Here is a 14906-nt window from a genome sequence, read left to right as displayed (position 1 = left end):
GGTCCATCCTGATCAGTTAATGTGTCTGTTGGTATTAGAGCATTTGTAGCAATACTATTTGCTTATTTAACACTTTTTTCCAGCCACTCATTTAACAGTTTGAGTACCTGTTACGCCCAGTAACACCTGTGAATGCTGAGGCCGTTGCAGTTCTCCTGGCCTTTACATTCTGGTAGGGGAGGCAGATAAAACATGAAGAAACACATGATGTCATGTGCTTAGGGCACTAAGGAGGAAAATGGTGCCAGTGAGGGAATAGCCGCAGATGAGGCCCTGTGGCTGTGTGTGCACAGTCTGGGTGTACAGGGGATGTTTCTGACAAGGAGACATGTGAATGGATGCCACTGGCTGCTAGAGAAATGGCATGGTGTGTGTCATCATGTCACTCTGACTGTGTGACAAGCACAGACTGCGGTGGGCAAGCAGGGAGACCGGCTAGGGGCTGCCAGGGTCATCCAGGCAAGAGATGACAGGGGCTCAGGCCGGGACAGCAGCTGTGGAGATAAGAAGAGGCATGTGATTCTGGATTCACAAACTACTTTCTGAGCAACAGGAAGAATGGAGTTGCCAGATACTGAGATGGGGACAGATGTGGAAAGAGCAAGTGCTTTGGGGCAGGAGAAGTAATGTTTGGTTTTGGACATATTGAGGTGCCTGTTAAACATCCAGGTGGATAGGGGATAGAGTTCAAGGGGGAGGTTAGGGCCTGTACCTGACCATGGCTGTGACAGGTGGTACCTAGACCCTTGCAGCAGACTCTCCCAGCAGACAAGTCAGGACAGAGGAGTCAGGACCTGGGCAATGAGTTAGAAGGATTGCTGGGAAAAGGTGTCAAGGCAGCCACCTAAAGAAGGCCTGTTGCAGAAGAAAGCCTGATCTGCAATTGGATTTGGTGACACGAGATCAGTATTGACAGGAGTGGCTTACTGCAGTGGTGGGAGCAAAAGCCTAATGGTGAGGGCTCAAGGAAGAAGTGGAGAGAGGAAATGCAGGTAGCTTTTCCAGGGAGCTGTGCAGTAAAGGGGGAAAGACAGGGAGGGATGGCTGGAGGGGGTGAGTTTTCTTAGCAGTGATATTAGATATCAAAAAATAAATAAATAATAAAAGCATCACTATGCCATAGGACAACTTCAGGCAGCCCACTATATTGATAATTATGATATTATGATAGTTATGTGATATATTAGCCAAAATCGCGCCATTGCATTCCAGCCTGGGCAACAAGAGCGAAACTCCATCTCAAAAAAACAACAAAAGAAACCACTCAATGGTAATTGTATTCCATGTGTTCCAGAAGTTAAGTGGAGTTATGGAAAACCTGAAAATTACTGAAATGGAATTTCTAAAGATGAAAACCACAATGTGTGAGATAAAGGTTACACTGAAGGGAATTACACTGAAGGGCAGATTAAACACTGCTAAAGAAAGGGCTCAACTATTCAATGTGAAACCTGGGGAAAAGAGAACCAAACAAATTTTCAAAAGCATCGTTACAAGGCCAGGTGCGGTGGCACACACCTGTACTCCTGCCATGCCTGTAATCCCAGCATACCTGTAATCCTAGCACTTTGGGAGGATAAAGAAGGAGGATCACTTGAGCCCAGGAATCTGAGACCAGCCTGGGCAATGAAGGGAGACCTCATCTAGACCAAAAAAAAAAAGAATTAGCCAGGCATGGCGTGCATGATTGCTTGAGCCCGGGAGGTCAAGACTGTGTGAGCCATGATCAAGCCACTGCACTCTGGTCTGGGCAACAGAGTGACACCCTGTCTCAAAAAAATATATAAATAAATAAAAGCATCACTATGCTATAGGATAACTTCAAGCAGCCTATTATATTGATAATTATGATATCATAATTGTGCAATATTAGAGCAGTCTGGAGTGTGCATGGGAATAATCCAGGGGAGAGGAGAAGATGGACGGCATGGGACAGAGTAGGTGCAGTGATGTCTCTGGGCCTGTGAGAAGGGATGGGACCCAGTGTTCTGAGGCTGAGCAGAGGAGTTCCCCTCAGATAGGAAGGAAGGCCAAGGCTGTGGGGAAAGACATGGGTAAGTTGATCTATTTGTGGGTGAAGGAATCTGCCAGTTCTCTTCTGAGTGCTTGTGCTGTCCTTAGGAAATAAGCAGCAAGGCCATCTGCTAGGAGGGCAGAGGGAAAAGGAGGTACTGGGCCTCTCTCTCTCAGTTCCCCACGTGGGCGCAGTCTGAGCTCTCATATCGTCTTTCTGACATTTAATGTTTTTAAAAAGGATGACAAGGACAGTTCCCTTGGGAAGTCATTTCAGTCACGACCTGCTGTGTATCTGTGGAGTTGACATGTTCTGCATAGTTGAGTGCTCCCCTGCTCTGGGAAGCCTGCACGGGGTCCCTGCACACATCCCAGCATGGAGGGTCTCAGGGCTGGGTTTGAGACGAAGGTGGGCGAAAGGTTCACATGAACTGAGGTCATGACAGAGTGATCAGGTGGGACCAGGCAGAACTCTCGGCCCCCAGGGCTTGCTGGTACACAGATTGCTAAGTGTCTTCATTGTTAAATAGAATTAATCTTCATATGGTAGTTGTGGGCTGAGTTGCCTCATTCACTTGTGATAAGTTTAGCGGATAAGAAAATGTCCTGACATAATGAGAGCAGAGGGCAGATGGGTGTTGGTGTGGGAAAGGCTGAGAAAGCCAGGACTTTTGGGTTTGTAAAGGTGAACGTGGACACGGCTGTCAGTGAGGGAATACACGCATACCTCAGGGGTGCTGAAACTTAGGGTTTGTTCTTGAAGCCTGAAGTTGTCCTGAGCTTCATGGTAAAAAAAAAAAAAAAAAAAAGTTCAAATTATCTTCAGTTCTTATCAGGCTGGTGGAGTCTTCAAACAAAGCTTGGGGTATATTGACTGAACTGTTCGTAATGGGAAGGTAAGAATGTTCAGGGTCAATGCCGGTCATTTTGATGTGGTAGTTCAGATCACTAGAATAGATATGGCTTTTAACTTTCAACTATTTTTTTCTCCTCATAATGTGTACATCATATATGCCCTACCCCTTCATCCTTGACCTTTGCCACTCCTGGTCCTGGATAACCACATTGCTCCTACCTGAAAGTGGCCCTGTCAATGCCAAGTGCCCATAGGTCATTTTATTCAGTAGCTACTGTATTCCTGCTGTTTGCCAGATGTTGTGCCAGGCCCTGGGGATACAAGGAGATAGTACCTGTCCTCAGGGAGCTAGTTGTCTGTCATGTTTTATGCTTGGCAACCATCAGCTCTTGCATACTCAGGCTTTGATGATGCCTTTGGCAAAGAGAAAATACAGGGATGGCTGGAGAAGGTTAGTCTACCTTCATTCACATTTATCCTTTCTTAAAGACTCCTGTGTTGCTCTGACATTTTTATGTACTGATTTATCTTCAGGGTATCTGCTATGGCTTGATGGTTTAATGGTTTAAATGTGTCCCCGAAAATTTCATGTGTTGGAAAGTATTGGAATCTTGGTCCTCAATGTAGTACTAACTACATATAAGAAGTGGGACCTGGCCGGACGCGGTGGCCCACGCCTGTCATCCCAGCACTTTGGGAGGCTGAGGTGGGCGGAACACGAGATCAAGAGATCAAGACCATCCTGGCCAACATGGTGAAACCCCGTCTATCCTAAAAATACAAAAATTAGCTGGGTGTGGTGGCACACGCCTGTAATCCCAGCTACTTGGGAGGCTGAGGCAGGAGAATCGCTTGAACCTGGAAGGCAGAAGTTGCAGTGAGCCGAGATCACGCCACTGTACTCCAGCCTGGGTGACAGAGCAAGATTCCATCTCAAAACAAACAAACAAAAAAACTAGAGGTGGGACCTTTGGGAGGTGATTGGGTCATGAGGGCTTTGCTCTCATGAGTGGATGAATCCATTCATAGATTAATGGTTTATTGAGGGTTTGGGTTAGTTATCATGAGAGTTATCACTGTTGTAAAAGGCAGTGTGGCCATCTCCTCTGATCCCCATTACCATGTGATGCCCTGAGCCACCTTGGGACTCTTCGGAGTCCCCACCAGCAAGAAGGTCCTCACCAGATATGGCCCCTTGACCTTGGACTTCCCAGCCTCCAGAATGCTAAGAAATAAATTTCCTTCTTTATAAATTACTGACCTCAGTTATTTAATTATAGAAACAAAAAACTGACTAAGAATAGGTCTCTTAGCCTCTTGCTTGACAGGATGTAATGCAAAATGCATTGCTGGCCAATAGAGCCATCTAAAGACATGAGAAAAATTCTCAGTTTGGGGACACAGGACACCTTGACAAGGCACATCATGGCATAACCTACAAGAAGGCAAGCAAAAAAGACTGCCATTCTAGGACATTCAATATCTGGCTTAGGGTTCCAGGAGGAAGGGACTGTTAGGCCAGTACAGGCCAGCTGGGAGGCTGCCAGTGCAGCCCCAGAGCCTCAGGAAAAAGCTGAAGGAGATTCTGCCAGGGCCCAGGGAAGCATCTCCAGGTATGAGGTCGCCTGGGAGATGTCATAGCTGTGGTGAAGGGCGGCCTCTGAGGGGCCCTCTCTCTCTCACTCTGTTCCTCTCTCAAACAGTTTGATTTTTTTTTCTGATTCCAAAGTAATAAAGAGTTCTTAATAAAAATTTAAAACAGAGAAAGTGAAACTCCCTCTGGATAATTGCTGTGAACAGTGTGGCCTGTGTTGAGAGTATTGCTCCTGTGTTCTTCCATCCATTTAGCAAGTATGTCTTTTTCGTTGACCTAGCCTTCACTGAAGGCTAGAGTGGATAAAATGCTGCACAAGAGTGGGACAAATCCCAGTCCTTGTGGGACTTCTGTTCTCATGAAGGAGAAACACGGCAACAAAGATAGCACATAAGTATACAGTAAAATTTCAAAGGGTGATAAAGTGCTATAAAGAAAAATAAAGCAAGGTAAGGTTATGTGGCTGTGTGTAAAGCACCTGAAAACATGCCGTACCACAGTGGTGAAATATTTTTGTTTCTGCCAGGAAAATAAGGCCTTCTCACAGTAGGATACCCAGTTGTTCAGTTCTGCCGACTGAATCCTCATGATTTTTTGTTTTCTTCTTTGGGAACAAAGAGACATTTATGGACTGCTCTTGTGTGTTTTATTAAGGCCTTAAAGTTTTCAATTCAGTAGAGTGAAATTGCTCTCAACACTGACTGCTTTTGAATATGATTATGGAGATTGTTGTTAAGATTTCCGCCTAAAAGCTAAGAAGAATTTAATCTGTTAGTCTTGGGGAATGAGATTTGGCGTTACTCTCTTGTTCCTTCTAAGAGAATACCATGGAATTAAATGATAAAACACTTTTCCTCAACAATTTTGATGGTTACATTAATGAAGGAGTTGATGAAAACTAATTGTAGACATTATTATTATTATTATTATTTTTTGAGACAGAGTCTCACTCTGTCGCCCAGGCTGGAGTGCAGTGGTGCGATCTGGGCTCACTACAATCTCCGCCTCCCAGCTCATGCCATTCTCCTGCCTCAGCCTCCCAAGTGGCTGGGACTACAGGCGCCCACCACCACGCCCAGCTAATATTTTTGTATTTTTAGTAGAGACGGGGTTTCACCGTGTTAGCCAGGATGGTCTCGATCTCCTGACCTCGTGATCCACCTGCCTTGGCCTCCCAAAGTGCTGGGATTACAGGTGTGAGCCACTGCACCCAGCTAATTATAGACATATTTTAAAAGAAACATAGAACTTCCACTACTGACCAAGGTGGCTGAATTTACCCGGAAATAACCCAAATAGCAGCCACAACAAAAACGACAACATACACGAAACAATTTTTAAAACACTGGGCACCAAGCAACAAAGGACAGTAAACTCGGAGAAGTGACAGACAAAGGAAGTGAGCCCTACAGTACCCTAGCTGATCTCCTTGAGAGAGCTTCCACGCCATGGCACAGGGAGGGGAGCCACGTGGACTCCCAGGGTTGTGGGTGTGGAGCTGAGAATCTGGAGAGACCAATGTGGCTAGAGTTTATAGGACAGAGTACCAGAGAGGAGAGAGCAACACAGAGAGAGACCCTGGGGTCTGCAGAGGGTCCCCTTGATCAGCACACGTGTGTGAGGAAACTCTCTGTGGCTGGGGAAAGAACTGTCTGAAAAGATCAGAAGATACAGTCCCTGCTACTTAGAGCAAGATTATAATTTACTGGTAGAACATTCAGGAACAGCATGCTTCAGTAGTGGGAAATTCCAGGTGTATGGGTTTGTGAGGGCTACCATAACAAAGTAACACAGACCAGGTGACTTAAATGGCAGAAGTTTATTTTCTCTCGATTCCAGAGGCCAGAAGTCCAAGATGGAGGTGTCAGCAGGGCTGGTTTCTCATGAGGCCCCTCTGCTTTGCCTGTAGATGACCACCTTCTCCATGTGTCTTCATATGGTCTAACCTCTGTGTGTGGCTCTTTCTGCATTTCTTCTTACAAAGCTGAGTCATAGTGGATTAGGGTCCACCCTGATGACCTCATTTTAGCATAATTACCTCCTTAAGACCCTCTCTCTAAATACAGTCATATTCTGAAGTGCTAGGGGTTAAGACTTCAACATACAAATTTTGAGGGGACATTATTCAGCCCATAGCACAGGCATGCAGAGTGGGAGGAAACTATGATGTGTATATAATGAAGAGAATAATCAATGAAAACCGACTGAGTACTGACACGCACGTTAGTGTTGAAGAGAAGCACATTAAAACACTGTAGGCTGGGCGTGGTGGCTCACACCTGTAATCCCAGCACTTTGGGAGGCCGAGGCGGGAGGATCACCTGAGGTAAGGAGTTTGAGACCAGCCTGACCAACATGGAGAAACCCTGTGTCCTGTCTCTACTAAAATTACAAAATTAGCCGGGTGTGGTGGCACATGCCTGTAATCCCAGCTACTCGGGAGGCTGAGGCAGGAGAATCACTTGAACCTGGGAGGCGGAGGTTGCAGTGAGCTGAGATCGTGCCACTGCACTCCAGCCTGGGCAACAAGAGCGAAATTCCATCTCAAAAACAAACAAACAAACTTACTGTAATTGTATTCCATATGTTCTAGAAGTTAAGTGGAGAGTCATGGAAAATCTGAAAATTACCCAAATTGAATTTCTGAAGATGAAAACCATAATGTGTGAGGTAAAGTTTACACTGAAGGGAATTACATTGAAGGGCAGATTAAACACTGCTAAAGAAAGAGCTCAACTATTCAACATGAAACCTGGGGAAAAGAGAACCAAACAGATTTTCAAAAGCATCATTACTAGGCCAGGTGTGGTGGCACACACCTGTACTCCGACCATGTGTGTAATCCCAGCACACCTGTAATCCTAGCACTTTGGGAGGATAAAGAAGGAGGATCACTTGAGCCCAGGAATCTGAGACCAGCCTGGGCAACAAAGGGAGACCTCATCAAAAAAGAAAAAAATTGAACAATTAGCCAGGCGTGGTGTGCATGCCTTTGATTACAACTAATTGGGAGGCTAAGGTGGGAGGATTGCTTGAGCCTGGGAGGTCAAGACTGCATGAGCCATGATCAAGCCACTACACTCTGGTCTGGGCAACAGAGTGAGACCCTGTCAATAAATAAATAAATAAATGCATCACTATGCTATGGGACAACTTCAGGTAGCCTATTATACTGATAATTAAAGTCCTCAAAGAAGAGGAGAAAGGAGAGAAAAAATATTTGAAGAAATAGTGGCCAGAAACTTTACAAGCTTGGTGAAAACTGTAAACCCACTGCTAAGAAGCTTAATTAATCTCCTGCATAAGAAACATGAAGCAGTATACCAAGGCACTTCGTAATCAAATTGCTCAAAATCAGTGATAAAGAAAAAAAAAACCTTCAAACCAACCAGAGGAAAAAAGACATACTGTGCACACAGGAACAAAGATATGGGCAAAGAAGTTTTCTTAAAAGAAAAGTAAGTAAGAATTCAGTGAAGCAACGTCTTTATTTTTTTAATTTTTTTTTTTGAGACGGTGTCTCAGTCTGTATCCCAGGCTGGAGCACAGTGGCACAATCTCTGCTCACTGCAACCTTCATCTTCCGGATTCAAGCAATTCTCCTGCCTCAGCCCCCCAAGTAGCCAGGATTACAGGTGCCCGCCACCACACCCGGCTGATTTTTGTATTTTTAGTAGATACAGAGTTTTACCATGTTGGCCAGGCCGGTCTTGAACTCCTGACCTCAGGTGATCCACCCGCCCCGGCTTCCCAAAATGCTGGGATTACAGGTTTGAGTCACTGCGCCTGGCCTTGAAGCAACATCTTTGACGCTGTCATGCCATGTAGTAATGTCACTCAATATAGTAATGTCACTCAATAACAGGTACACCTTCTGAGCAATGTGGTGTTAGGCAAGTGCATTGTCACGCGAAGATCAGAGTGTATTTACACAAACATAGATGGTACGGCCTATTACACGCCTGGGCTATGTGGTAAGGCCTATTGCTCCTAGGCTGCAAACCTGCACAGCATGATACTGTACTGAGTCCTGTAGGCAGTTGTGACACAATGTTAAGTATTTGTGTATCTACACATAGAAAAGGTACAGTGAAAATACAATATAAAAGATAAAAAACAGTACAGTATAGGGCACTTACCATGATTGGAGCCTGCAGGACTGGAGGTTGCTCTGGGTGAGTCAGTGAGTGAGTGGTGAGTGAATGTGAAGGCTTAGGACATGAATATACATTTTTATACAACTTGCAGTGGTTTGTTTATACCACATCACCACAAATGTGAGTAATGCTTTTCACTGTGACGCTACAGCCATGACATTAGGCAATAGGAATTTTTTAGTTCTATTATAATCATATGGGACAACCATTGTATAAGTGGTCCACTGTTGGCTGAAATGCTATTATGCAGTTTGCATGACTGTACTGAAAGAAAAAGCTATCCGTCCAAAATTCTTGACCAGGTGAAAATAACTTTTTATGTTGTCATTCCTCCCACCCCAAATATCTTCAAAGGCAAAATAGTGAAGTTTTCAGATATAAAAAAGCTGAAAGAGGGCCAGGTGTGGTGGCTCACGCCTGTAATCCAAACACTTTGGGAGGCCAAGATGGAAGGATCACTTGAGCCCAGGAGTTCCAGTCCAGCCTGGGAAACATAGCCAAACTGGCTATGTTTTATAGACTCCATCTTTACGAAAAGTCAAAGATTAGCTGAGCATGGTGGTGTGCACCTGTGGTCCTAGCTACTTGGGAGGCAGGAGGATCACTTAAGGCCAGGAGGTGGAGACTGCACTTAAGCGCAGGTGACAGAGTAAGATCTTGTTTCTTAAAAAAAAAAAAAGAAGAGGCTGAGATAATTCATCATCAGCAGACCCATGCTTTAAGAAATGTTAACACCCAGGTGTGCTGGCTCATACCTATAATCCCAGCACTTTGGGAGATCAAGATGGTGGGATCGCTTGAACCCAGGAATTTGGGGCTTCAGAGAGCTATGAGCATGCCACTGCACTCCAGCCTAGGTGACAGAGAAAGATCCCCTCTCTAAAAAAACAACAAGTGAAATTACAAAGTAGCTCACATGGAATGAAAAGGAAGACACACGTATGCCCCGAAAGCATGCTTGAGGAAAGTGAAAATATAGCACTGAATGCCTATAGTAAAAAAGAAAGATCTTCAATTGATGACTTTAGCTTTCACATTAAAAATCTAGGGGACCAGGCACTGTGGCTTATGCCTGCAAGCCCAGCAGTTTGGGAGACTGGGGCAGGCAGGTCACTTGAGTCCAAGGAGTTCGAGACCAGCTTGGGATCCACAGTATTTTGGACTACTTTTTTACTGTGAGGAAGGGAAATGAGAAAATAAATGTAGAGAACTGGCATGAAGCTAACTTTGTATAATGATTGAACCCTGAGACAGTGGCCTTTCTATCAAGTTTCTGAGATCCTTACTTGGCAAAATAAAAACCCGGCAATATTAGGTCAGTCCCCATTTTATAGAACATTTTATTAGTTCATGAAACAAAAATCTAGGAACCAGTTCTTTGGGGAGTGTCAGGAAGCGGGGAGGGTTATGTTGGGAGGAATCACTTCTGAAGAGAGATGAATAGGGTTGAAGATGAAGCAGTCAAGATGGTTACTAAGCGTTTTATAACCAGGTGTTTTGGTTTTTAAAAAATCAGGCATTTCTGTGCATTAGAGCCTGCTGCTGCCTCCAGGTTGTAAACAGTGTTCTAAGGGCCAGCCACAGTGAAATCCAGTGCAGGGCTACCATCCTGATAGAGCGGCTTGGTACCAGTGTCCCACACCCCAATGTAGGCATTGCCCATGGGGACGAGAGGGGACATAGACACTCCTTGGGGGCCTTTTGTGTAGGAACCGTGACCACCAGTCCAGTGTCTCAGTCTGTGGTCTCTCCTTTAAAGTAGGAATCTTCCTAATTAGCTGATCACTCTCGTTCTTCCTGGACTCCCCAGTGTCTTTCAGAAATAGCTTCTGGTAAGTTGCAGCTTGCTCATGATGGGAGGGAAGGAAGAGGAAGTAGAACAGTAGAGGCAGAACAATTAAAAATAAATGGTGAAGGGCCTGGTGTGTGGCTCACACCTGTAATCCCAGTACTTTGGGAGGCTGAGGAAGGAGGATTGCTTGAGCTCAGGAGTTTGAGACCAGCCTAGGAAACATGGTGAAACCTGTCTCTACCAAAAAAAAAAAAAAAAGTCAATAAAGGCACAAGAAGAATTAATAAAAATAACATTGATTGAGAACTGTGTACCAGATACCGTTTCCTTAAGCGCTTTACGTGTGTGAATTCATGGAATGCTCACAGCTGCCTCATGAGATTGGTGGGTCGCCCTCTTCACAGATGAGGAAGCCAAGGCATGGATGGTTAAGTAGCTTGCCCAGGGTCGCACACCCATCCAAGTGGCAGACCTGCCATCTCCACTACTCATGCTCTAATCGCTGTGCTCTCCTGCCCCTGCTTAGGGCTGTCTCTCTTATACATCCTGACTATTACAAGGGGAAATTATTATGGGTTGAAAATATTGAGCCAGTGTCACTTGAGAGAAATAGTTTATTCATCAGCATATTGCTTTCCTTCTCTGACAGCATTGGTGACTCTGCGGCTGTGCCTGAGGGGTGGGCTTCTGAGGGCACAGAAGTCTTTTCTTGGAGTTGGTGGCCTCTGAGTCTTCCACAGAGCCTTCTCTTGGAGTTGGTGACCTTCTCTGTGGCCCCCTTATTGTCTTGGCACCTTCAACCTCCAGTGCTTTGGTTGTGACTGGGAAGCTCTGGGTGCCAGCTGAGGGAGTAGGGAAGCAAGACCTCCAGGGAGACCTGTGTACCCCAGTAATCACTGGGATGCATGAGAGATCTGATGCATCACTGTGACTCAAGGGGACCCCCCACAGTCAGCGCCCCAAGGCATTGAAAGCTTTGAAGGATGAGTGTGTTTGGGTCCACTGTAATCAATTTAAGTAGGAATTCCCGCAGTGGTTTTGTGCATTTCTTTAAGAAAATAACCTGGAAGCCCAGTCTTTCCAGATAGGAAAAAACAAAGGGCAAGGACCCACTTATATCTAAAAGTGTCCTTTGTTAACAAAAAATCTACAAAGGGCTTTTTTTTTTTTTTTTTTTTTTATAACAGAGACAGAGAAACAGGGTCTTGCTGTGCTGCCCACACTGGTCTCATTCTCCTGGCCTTATGCAATCCTCTCGCCTCAGCCCCCACAGAGTGCTGCATTACAGCAGAGTGCTGGCATTACAGGGGCGAGCCACCATGCCTGGCCAGAGCTCCTTTAAAGAGCAAGTTTTTCCAGTGTGAAGTTATAAAATAGCTTACTTAATGTGTTGTGCATGCATGTGTAGCTATTTAAACCTGTGGACACAACATCAGTGCTCACTGGCACTCCTGGTTTGGGATCTTACCCTCTTGAACTGAGACGCGGTCTCACAATCTGAATGGAAGTGACGTGTCACTTCGGTAGGCAGAAGTGGTTAAGAGCAGGTACGTGATCCTTCGTGCCCTCTGCTCCTGCTGCAGCAAACCCTAAAGCCTTGTGTGGAGGTGGCAGTGTCGCAAAGTGATGGAGTTTCTGCAAGACAGGTTCCTGAGTAATGTGTTTAGTAGAACTCCAGCTGACCTGTGCTGGACCCACAGCTAGAGGAAGAAATAAGCTGTGGTTCTTTAGGCCTCTTAGATTTGGTAGCTGTTGCTGCATTTTAACTTTATCTAGAATATATAGAGAAATTTTAAAACTCCGCAACAAAACACCAATTCAAAAATGGGCCTAGAACTCGAAGAGACATTTCTCTAAAGACGGATAGATGACTTATAAGCACATGAATAGATGCCCAACATTACTAATCCATTGGGGAAATGGAAATCAAAACCACAATGAGATACCACCTCACACCAATTAGGATGGCTAATTTTTTTTTTTTACTTTTGAAATGTGGTCCTTCTCTGTCACCCAGGCTGGACTACAGTGGTGCAATCATGGCTTACCCTTGATCTCCCTGGCTCAAGCGGTCTTCCCACTTCAGCCTCCCGAGTAGCTGGGACTATAGGTGCATGCCACTACACCTGGCTAGGTTTTTAATTTTTGATAGAAAGAGGGTCTAAATATGTTGCCCAAGCTGGTCCCAAACTCATGAATTAAGCAATCCTGCCGCAGCCTCCCAAAGCACTGGAATTACAGGCATGAGCCACTGCGCCTGTCTGAGGATGGCTAATAATTTTTTTAAAAGAAAGTAGGCTTTGCAGATGCCACCGCCGCTGGGAGCCCTGTACTATCAGCCATGGTCAACCCCACTGTTCTTCAACATTGCTGACGAAGGCAAGCCCTTGGGCCGCGTCTCCTTCAACCTGTTTGCAGACAAGATTCCAAAGACAGCAGAAAACTTTCATGCTCTGAGCACTGGCGAGAAAGGATTTGGTTTTAAGGGTTTCCGCTTTCACAGAATTATTCCAGGGTTTATGTATCAGGGTGGTGACTTCACACCCATAATGGCACTGGTGGCAAGTCCATTTACGGGGAGAAATTTGGTGATGAAAACTTCATCCTAAAGCATACAGGTCCTAGCATCTTGTCCATGGCAAATGCTGGACCCAACACAAACGGTTCCCAGTTTTTCATCTGCACTGCCAAGACTGAGTGGTTGGATGGCAAGCATGTGGTCTGTGGCAAGGCGAAAGAAGGCAAGAATATTGTGGAGGCCATGGAGCGCTGTGGTTCCAGGAATGGCAAGACCAGCAAGAAGATCACCATTGCTGACTGTGAACAACTCTAATAAGTTTGACTTGTGTTTTATCTTAACCACCAGACCATTCCTTCTGTAGCTCAGGAGAGCACCCCTCCACCCCATTTGCTCTCAGTATCCTAGAATCTTTGTGCTCTTGCTGCAGTTCCCTTTGGGTTCCATGTTTTCCTTGTTCCCTTCCGTGCCTAGCTGGATTGCAGTGTTAAGTTTATGATTATGAATAAAAACAAAATAACAAAAAATAGTAAATGTTGGCAATGATATGAGAAATTGGAACCCTTGCACACTGTTAGTGGGAATAAAAATGGTACAGAAACTGTGGAAAACAATATGGCTGTCTCTTTAAAAATTGAACATAGAATTACTGTATAATGCAGCAGCTGCGCTTCTGGGTATCTACCAAAAATAATTGAAAACAGGGTCTCTAAGAGCCATTTATTTGTACACCCATGTTCATAGCAGCACTATTCACAATAGCTAAAACATGGAAGCAACCCAGATGTCCACCCATGGATGAATGGATAAGCAAAATGTGGTATATCTGTACAATGGAAAGAATTTCTGAAATATGCTACAACATGAATGAACCTTGAAGACATTATGCTAAATGAAGTAAGCCAGTCACAAAAAGACAAGTACTGTATGATTCCACTTACGTGAGGCACTAGAGTCGTCAAGGTACTAGTAGCAGAAAGTGGAAGGGTGGTTGCCATGGGCTGGGGGATGGAGAATGGGAGTTACTGTTTAATGGGTACAGAGTTTCAGCTTTACAGATGGAAAGAGTTACAGAGATGGATGGTAGTGGTGATTACACAACAGTATGAACATATGAACATATTACCACTGAACTGTACACGTGAAAATGGTTATGATGGTAAATTTTGTTACGTGTAAAAAAATTGGAAAAATGTGTAAAATTTCTTAAATTGCTGAAGTATATGTGGCAAATTCTCTGCCCCCCATTTCCCCTTTCTTAATATGAATGGTCCCTCCTCCCACAAAACTGTAAGCCCTCCCTCCATGTCACCGTATGAACACTCATTCTTTGTTTTTTAATGACTACATGTCATCTCAGTGTATGGACACACTATCCCCTATTAAAGAGATGTAAAATTAGTGTGCTGTAATCTGTAGCTTTCTTGTATACAAACAACAGTAGTTGGTTGTAAGATATAAAGGAAGAGAAGACAAATTCAAAAAACATTCCTCAGATTATTCATCTAACAGAATCCCAAATTTTAAAATGCCCATCCGTTTCTCTCTTGTTCAATACAAGCTGATTCTGAAGTTCAGATGAAAAAATATACAGAGATCTCGTACCAAGGGTATATTCAAAAAAGAAAAAAAATGACCTACAGAAGTGCCATGAGCCTCTGGAAAAAGAAGAGAGGTGTGTGGGGTCTGGTCCATGCTACAGTGCTCAGCTCAGGAATAACAGGCCAGTGTGACAGGACAGAGATTCCCAAATAGACCCAAATACACTTGTGAATTTAGTTTTAGGTGAAGTTGGAATAATAGTTGAGTGGAGTCAAGGTTGATTTTGATTGTTAATAAAGGTTTTTGGGACAATTGGGTAGCCATTTGAAATAAAATAAATCTGGATCCATATCTTACTCTGTAAACAAGAAACCAAGAAGTACTAGAAGAAAACAGGAGTGAAATTCTAAAGTCTTGAAATGGAGGAGGGCTTT

At 44.5% G+C, this 14906-nt stretch overlaps 1 protein-coding gene and 1 pseudogene across 6 annotated transcripts in view; both read left to right on the top strand.

The window, feature by feature from the left end:
* Positions 1-14906, top strand: part of ABHD12 (abhydrolase domain containing 12, lysophospholipase) — a 96093-nt gene that overhangs the window by 9316 nt on the left and 71871 nt on the right. The window lies entirely within an intron of this gene.
* On the top strand, positions 12712-13453 carry PPIAP2 (peptidylprolyl isomerase A pseudogene 2; annotated as a pseudogene).

The sequence above is a fragment of the Homo sapiens genome, chromosome 20 (genome assembly GCF_000001405.40).
Source record: "Homo sapiens chromosome 20, GRCh38.p14 Primary Assembly".
Classification (NCBI taxonomy): domain Eukaryota; kingdom Metazoa; phylum Chordata; class Mammalia; order Primates; family Hominidae; genus Homo; species Homo sapiens.
Note: the sequence above shows the minus strand (reverse complement) of the source record. Positions and strands in the feature narration are given on the sequence as shown.